General features: G+C 47.9%; 2 annotated features.

Moving 5' to 3' along the window:
- Nucleotides 330-830: an enhancer, noted in NCBI's record as "H3K27ac hESC enhancer chr14:78563399-78563899 (GRCh37/hg19 assembly coordinates)". NCBI's record gives its function as "activates a minimal SCP1, AML or CMV promoter by ChIP-STARR-seq in naive H9 embryonic stem cells {active_cell/tissue: H9 hESC(naive)}" and the evidence as "EXISTENCE:reporter gene assay evidence [ECO:0000049][PMID:30033119]".
- Nucleotides 6,855-7,354: an enhancer, noted in NCBI's record as "H3K27ac hESC enhancer chr14:78556875-78557374 (GRCh37/hg19 assembly coordinates)". NCBI's record gives its function as "activates a minimal SCP1, AML or CMV promoter by ChIP-STARR-seq in primed H9 embryonic stem cells {active_cell/tissue: H9 hESC(primed)}" and the evidence as "EXISTENCE:reporter gene assay evidence [ECO:0000049][PMID:30033119]".

Here is an 8,464-nt window from a genome sequence, read left to right as displayed (position 1 = left end):
CAAAGAAGTCCAGGCTGAGGTGGCCTCAGATGGAGATGAGGAACTTTTGGGAACTGGAGCAAAGGTGACTCTTGCTGTGTTTTAGTAAAGAGACTGGTGGCATTTTGCCCCTGCCCTACAGATCTGTGGAACTTTGAACTTGAGAGAGATGATTTGGGGGATCTGACAGAAGAAATTTCTAAGCAGCAAAGCATTCAAGAGGAACCAGAGCATTAAAGTTTGGAAAATTAGAAGCCTGATGATGCAATAAAAACTAAAAACCCATTTTCTGGGGAGAAATTTAAGCCAGCTGCAGAAATTTGCATAACTAACAAGGAGCCCAATGTTAATCACCAAGACAATGGGGAAAATGTCTCCAGGGCATGTCAGAGACCTTCACAGAAGCCCCTCCCATCAAAAGCCCAGAGGCTTAGTAGGAAAAAATGGGTCCAGAGCCCTCCTGCTGTGTAGCCTAGGGAGCTGGTGTCCTTCATCCCAGCCGCTCCAGCCATGGCTACAAGGGGCCAAGGTATAGCTCAGGCTGTGGCTTCAGAGGGTGCAAGCCCCAAATTTTGGCAGTTTCCACTTGGTGTTGAGCCTCTGGGTACAAAAGTCAAGAATTGAGGTTTGGGAACTTCCACCTAGATTTCAGAGGATGTATGGAAATGCAGAGGTGTGCTTCAGGGATGGAGCCCTCATGAAGAACCTCTGCTAAGGCAGTGTGGAAGGGAAATGTGGGGTGGGAGCCCCCACACAGACTCCCTACTGGGGCACTGCCTAGTGAAGCTGTGAGGAGAGGGCCACAATCCTCCACACCTCAGAATGGTAAATCCACCAACAGCTTGCACTGTGCACCTAAAAAAGCTGCCGACATTCACCGCCAGCCCATGAAAGCAGCCAGGAGGGAGGCTGTACCCCGCAAAACCACAGAGGTGGAGCTGCCCAAGACCATGGGAACCCACCTCTTGCATCAGCATGACCTGGATGTGAGACATGGAGTCAACAGAGATAATTTGGGAGCTTTAAGATTTGACTGCCCCACTGGATTTCAGACTCGCATGGGGCCTGTAGCCCCTTCATTTTGGCCAATTTCTCCCGTTTGGAATGGCTGTTGTTTACTCAATGCCTGTATCCGCATTGTGTCTAGAAAGTAACTAACTTGCTTTTGTTTTTACAGGCTCATAGGCAGAAGGGACTTGCCTTGTCTCAGATGAGACTTTGGACTGTGGACTTTTGAGTTAATGCTGAAATGAGTTAAGACTTTGGGGAACTATTGGGAAGGCATGATTGGTTTTAAAATGTGAGGACATGAGATTTGGGAGGGGCCACAGGTGGAATGATATGGTTTGGGTTCGTCCCTACCCAAATCTCATCTTGAATTGTAGCTCCCATAATTCCCATGTGTTGTGGGAGGGACCCAGTAGGAGTTAATTGAACCATGGGGGGCAGTTTCCCCCATACTGTTCTCGTGGTAGTGAATAAGTCTCATGAGGTCTGAAGGTTTGATAAGCAGTTTCCCCTTTCATCTGGGTCTCATTCTTTTTTGTTTGCCACCATGTAAGATGTGACTTTCGCCTTCTGCCATGATTACGAGGCCTTCCCAGCCACATGGAACCGTGAGTCCACTAAACTTCTTTTCTTTAAAAATTACCCAGTCTCAGGTATGTCTTTATCAGCAGTGTAAAAATGAACTAATACAGTGTCTCTCTGCAACCTGAAACTATGGTGGAGTTAGCATGGTAGGGAAAACCTTTAATAACTGTGTTGTGGTTGAACTGCATCCCTCAAAAAGATATGCTGACATGCTAACCCCTGTGTTTGTGAATGTGACCTTACTTGGAAACAAGATCTTTACATATGTAGTCAAGTTAGGATAAGGCTATACTTGATTAGGATAATTCTTAAGTCCAATGACTACTGTCCTTTTAGGAGAGGGATTTACAGACACACAGACACAAAGGAAAGATGGCCAAGTGAAGACAGAGGCAGAAATTACAGTAATGCAACTATGAGCCAATAAATGCCGAGGGTTGCAAGCAGCCAATAGGAGCTAGGAAGAGACAAGAAAGGATCCTCCCCTAGAGCCTGCAGAGGGGACATGGCCCTACCGACAGCTCAGTCTCAGACTTCTGGCCTTCAGAACTATGAGAGAATAAATGTCTGTTGTTTTAAGTCACCCAGTTTACAGTAATTTGTTATGGCAGCCTTAGGAAGCTAATACAGATGATGGATAGAAGTGAGTAGATGGATTCTTCTTCCTCACCCACCCGGGACAGGTGGTCCAGGAACATGTTTCATATGGTGCCTCAGATCTCCCTAGGGATCCATCACCCAGTCACCCACAGCTGTGGCCAACACAATAGTTCATCTTTGTTTTAGTTCCCCCTTCCCCCTTGATTTGTTCTTCTTGCCCCTCATCCCTGCCCCGTGGGATCACTCCCCAATAAGTCATTTGTCTCAGGTTCTGCTTTTTGGGAAACTCAGGTATAGGGTCCTCCAGTTTCCCCATGTTTTTCTCTAATACAGACTGCCATGACCTCTGTGTTAGCTGGTCAGCTGCATGTTTCCCCATGCAGGCTTCAAGCCCAGCCAGGACCTTTAATATTCCCAGACACTGAGAGAGCTGTTTAGGTTGCTGCCCAAAACACTGAATAAACTAGCCCTGGCCCTGGGCCAAAATCCTGAAACCCACAGATAAACACCATGCCTAACCCCCTGGCTACAGACATACCTAGGTAGACCATCCCTTTCTCTTGATGCCTGTTGTGAGGACTACTGCAAGCGCTAACTTAGAAGCACTAAGTTCCTCTAACAAATGCTTTGGACTGATCACCCCAGTGTTTAGTGCTTCTGTTTTTGAACTCCCAACCAGCCCCATCTCAGGACACTTTGGGGCAGCCCCTTGCAGGAATACTACTTTTGTGGCAACTCCATTCACAGGTTCTTCCAGACAGAACACCAGGTTAAAATAGTTTTTACCTGGCATATAGTTGACATTTGATAAATATTTATTGGCTGGCTGAATAAATGAATGAAGATATGAATGATGAACCAATCCCACCTTCAAGAAGCTTTCAGTCAAATTGCTAACAAACACAATTTAAAGAATAAATTATAGGGGTATTTGAAATTCCTAGCTACCTGGCTCAGCATACAGGGTAAGGCGGAACAGCAATTTCTAAAATTTTCAGTGGTTTCTATCCCTGCTTCTCTCCACCCACGTATCAGTTACGGTTTTTAACCACAAACAACACAATCCCACTCTGATTTAAGAAGTAAAGAAATGTATTAAAGTGGTAAGTGGTGGCTCACACCTATAATCTCAGCACTTTGGGAAGCCAAGGTGGGAAGATAGTTTGAGGCAAGGAGTTCAAGACCAGCCTGGACAACATAGTGAGACCCCCATCTCTACAAAAAATACAAAAATTAGCTAGGCCTGGTGGCACATGCCTGTGGCCCTGGCTACTCTGAAGGCTGGGATGGGAGGATCACTTGAGCCCAGGAGTTCAAGGCTGTAGTGAGGAGCCATGATCACATCACTGCACTCCTGCCTGGGTGACAGAACAAGACTCTGTCTACAGGGGGAAAAAAAAAAAAAAAAAAAGGATACTAGGGACCTTAAAGAATTTCCAAGAAAGTCAGTCTCAGAAGAACAATATCTAATCACTTCATAAGGGTATCTCTGGGAAATACAAAGCCAAGGGAAAAAATTAGCCACAAATCAGATTCTTCTGGGTGAATAAACTAGTCCCTGGCTGTAATCTGGGAAATTCAAGAAATACATAAAGCAGCTTTGGCCTTGGGGAGGTCTCTCTGAACAAAATTATTTAATATGATATGCCAATTCTGGGGTTTCCAGATCCTAGTAGCAGAGTGAAATGTTTTCTACCCCCAAGGTCTTTTCTCTCGTGAAAACTGAGCCTTTCCATCTCTGTTGAATCCACAGACCACTCTGTTATTGAGCCAAGTACAGGGAATAGAGCCAACCAAACCTCACCTGCCCCTTGGCCCTGTATTATAAATCCAGACCCTTCAGGGAAAACTGATTAGTATCTCTTTTCCAAGGCCTTCAGCTATTATTAAAATTTCCGGAGCCTGCCTATCTGGTAAGTAGCTAAAGCAGAATTCCAGCCCAGGATCTGGGTCCTTGAGGCTCAAAGCCTGGTTTGTGGACAGGGAGTGTCCACATTACCGGAAGCTTCTTACAAATGAAGAATCTGGGGCTCCACCCAGACCAGCTGAGCCAAAATTCAAAGTTTAACAAGATGCCCAGGTGATCTCTAGGCACAGAACTTTGAGATGCTCTGGTCTGCTGCTCTTTCCTTAATTCCAATGGTTTCCAAGTCTGGCTAATTGTTGGAATCCCATAGAGATTGTTATTAAAATAAAGATTCCCAAGCCCTGTTATTTTTTTTCTTTTTTTATTTATTATTTATTTATTTATTTTGAGATGGAGTTTCACTCTTGTCACCCAGGCTGGAGTACAATGGCACTATCTTGGCTCACTGCAACCTCTGCCTACCGGGTTCAAGTGATTCTCCTGTCTCAGCCTCCCGAGTAGCTGGGATTACAGGTGCCCACCACCACGCCCAACTAAATTTTGTATTTTTAGTAGAGATGGGATTTCACCAGGTTGGCCAGGCTGGTCTCGAACTCCTGACCTCAAGTGATCCGCCCGCCTCGGCCTCCCAAAGTGCTGGGATTACAGGCATGAGCCACCTTACCTGGCCAGATGAAATTATTTAATAGGCTTGGGGTAATGGAATAGGGCCCAGGCATCTGTATTTTCATGTTTAAGTTCCTTGGCGGTTCTTGTGATCAGCTAGGTTTGGGAATTGGTACCCTAGAGTGTATAGCTCTTGTCCTCCAGTAACCAGCCTCCCAATCAACATTACAGCAAACTCAGGAATCTTAGAAGACCAGACTCCAGGGACAATGGCCAATCACCCCAGAAACCTGACACAAACGCAGACTCCCAGCCTCACCCCCAGAGCCTGGCTGGGAAGGTCTGGACAGAGCTATCTTAGGACTTCAGGAAGCCCCAGTACTCTTGCTGTGGGGAACACCACCCCACATCATAACAAACATATGAAAAGCCATCTGCATCCCACATTAAATATAAATGATATGTAACTATGTGAGAGTGAGTTGACTTGTGGTTGATGAGTTGACATAGTTATATTTCCTAGACATTTAATTAAACATTTATTAATTTTGATTTTGCAACTTTCTTTTTGTTTACTATGGCCAGTAGTTTATTTTTCCTCAAGGATAACTGTTCCTTCCAGCCCCTGAAGAGCTAGTTTATAAGCTCTTCCACAAGCCACTACCCCTAACACACTCAATGGGCAAGATGGGGGTAGGCCTAGGGAGGGCTTGGGACTTTGCGTCTTAACAAGAGCCCCCAAGGTGGCCCTGGTGAGGTGGTCCCCAGACCACTGGCCTTCAGAGAGATGAGGGTGGATCTCTGGGGCAAGCCTGAAGTCAAACTGGCAGGCTGGATGGAGAGCCATCAGGGCTGGGAGCAGGAGGGAGTCTAGAGCTCCACTGACCGGCAGGCACACCCTGTGATTCCAGAGAAGCCCTCTGAGCAGGGCACATTCCCCTTGAGGATCGCCTAATACAAAAACGGTGGTGTGTAGGGAATGCTGCAAAACCCTGTTCCATCGGCATTGCTCAGACTATGACCCTGGGGCCACAGCTGGCCCCACACCAAAACAAGCAGGATTTGAAAGGATCCGAAGAGCATTACAAAGCACATAAGCAGCTAGGAAGTGGATGGTTAGAGAAAACAGGGTTATTTATTTGGAAAAGAGGGGGCCAGATGACCCACGATGATCTCCAAGCCAATAGCGAATGATTGCATGAACAGGCCTTCCTGCCTGAGCCTGGGCATGTGGTCTTGGAGGGGGTCCCGATGGGGCAGGCCTGCCAGAACCTCTCTGGGAAGTCTGATGATCTTCCTGGGGATCTTGCAATCCGAGGAAGCCCAGGGCCAGACCCCAGGGATGAATCTAGTCAGGCTCTCAGACCTATTCCCGGCCACTCCTCAGGGAAACCAGGTCAGAAGTCTGGAGGATAGGGGGATGCTGTACATAAAAAGTGAAAAGACAGACCTCAAGGGAAAATCTATGCGGGCAAGGCAGATGCAGAGCTGTGTGAGGACACCACTTCCCTGCAGACTGTGACCATGAAAATACACTAAAAGGACTTATCTGCCCTCACCCTCACCCCCAGCAATCCACGCTTCACCACAGACACAGAGGGTAACCTTGGTAGCACAAAGCCTTCAGAGACAGGATGGACAGGCCTGGTGAGAGACGATGGGAAGGGTGGTGGTGTCTGCTAAGAAATAGCTGGAAGCTTGGTGAGAGAAGGGGCCGGCAGGCTCTGGGGAACACAGTGTGATGGGCTGCTGAGCAGCTCAGATGTGATCACGCAAGACCCCCTGCCACCAGGCACTTCCAGCAAGCTCAGGGATGAAAGAACTTTGCAGGGGTGAGGTTCCAGGTAAGTAGGTAAAGTCCGAAGCCAGGGAAACAGGTCACTGTTGTCCGTGTGACTGATTCACACTCTCATATTGGTAAGGTCTGAGAAATAGGTCACCAGGGTGAACAGTCAGTGGTGATGGCCAGATGGCCAGATCAAAGAGGGAGCTTAATGGCACTGACTTTGATTCTGCCCCAAATGGTAGATGCTCGGGATCCCGCAAAGAGCTCAGTCACAGAGTCCATAGATGTGAACAAAACCAAGAGAAAGGAAGCAACCAACCTACGTGCTGACAGCTACAGACCCGGGCTGGGTGATTTACGTTCATTAACTCAGTGAATCCTTCCCATGCCTCCAAAGGCAGGCATTGTTATCCCCATTCTCAGGCAAGCAAACAAGGGCAGAGAGATTCATCTCTTGCTCAAGGTCACACAGCCAGTACACAAAGGAGCTTGTATTTGAGCCCACTTCTGTCTGACACCAGAGAGCAGGTTCCCAACCCGTGTGCTATCCGTGCGGCTCTAGAGGCAGAACTAATAAAAGGGATGGAAGGAGGGTCAGCTCTGAAGATCTGGGCTCTGAGGCTCTGAAGAACCGTGTCCAGAAAGCCCTCCATAATAGGGTAGCAGGAGAAATCCACTCTCACATTGCCGATGCCCAGTGGTGAGGAAACCAGGAGATAAGCGCATTCTATGCCCCATTCTCTACCCACAGCCTGCTGAGCTTAAGGAGTCACTGCCAACCTCCCACTGCTTAGACCCTGCCCTGAGACTCAGTAGCCCGCATGTCCAATGGGTCAGCTGTGCCCAGAAGGTTAAAAAGCAATGCTCCCAATGACACCAGACCCCTGCTTTCCACTCTGCACCACACTGCAACGCATCGCCTACCCTAACCAACACACACACATAACCAAGGGCCCCGCATTTGGCTTCTGAAGTCACTCTGGTTCCAGGACTGCAGGGCCCTGCAGCTGTGGGAGCAGATGTTCCCCTTGCACATGGCTGGACTTGGATCTCAGTGGGGATGGACAAGCATCATTGACCAGGGTGGATGGGCAGCTGCAGAGAATGAGGAGGAGACACCAGCTCCCACCCCCACCCCATCTCCATCTGCAGGATAGTGGCCACCCACCTTCTGAGGCCAGGGAGAGCAAGAACACCTGAGACAGCTGAACATGACCACCCTCCCCACCATTGCTGCTGGGATGAGCACCCAGACCAGGGCACCAGAAAGCCACGGAAGCCACAGCCACTAGCCCTGAACCTTGCACACCCCTGGAGTTTCTCTCCCCTCCCTGTCCCCTCACCAACACCTTCCAGTGCTTATTCTGCTGTGTCAAAATGATCCTTCTGTTGCTGCACTGTCATTACTGTTGTATGGATTTATAATTATTGTCCAAAAAAGCCCCGAGCCTGGTACAGAAAAGGCATGGGGAAAGATGTGTCAGAATGCACAGTGATTGTTCCTGGATGTGAGGACGACACCCGACTTTCACTTTTTCCTTTCTCTCTGTAATTTATTTTCCTTGTGCTGCTTGTATGCTTTCTTATTTATTTAAAGCTAATCCGCATGTCACGGCCCTGGGCTCCCTTTTTATGTTGAGAATGAGATCCTCCGTGTAGGTCATTCACAATGACAAGCTCCCTGTGCCACTGATTACCTAGGAACAGGGAACACCCTTGGGCCTGAAGCAGGACTTCATCAGAAGGTACTAGAAGAGCATTGGGAGTAAGAGAGACTCAGACCAGTGGAGACAAGCTGGCTGAGGTAGGGTCAGAAACCCACGTGTGGTAAACTGGATGTGTTTATGTCTTATACTGTATGCATTTTTCTCTTCGGTTTCCCCTAAATGCTCTGATATATGTTGAATTTCTACATCTTTTGGCTACACCAAAATAGATTAAGGAAAAAGAGCTTTACCTGCACTGGGGCCTGATCTTTAAAGTGGGAAATAGCACCTCCCATGAATGACTATTTCAGTGACCACGGACATAAT

Source organism: Homo sapiens, chromosome 14 (genome assembly GCF_000001405.40).
Source record: "Homo sapiens chromosome 14, GRCh38.p14 Primary Assembly".
Taxonomy (NCBI): domain Eukaryota; kingdom Metazoa; phylum Chordata; class Mammalia; order Primates; family Hominidae; genus Homo; species Homo sapiens.
The sequence above is the reverse complement of the archived record's forward strand: the minus strand, read 5'-3'. Positions and strand labels throughout refer to the sequence as shown.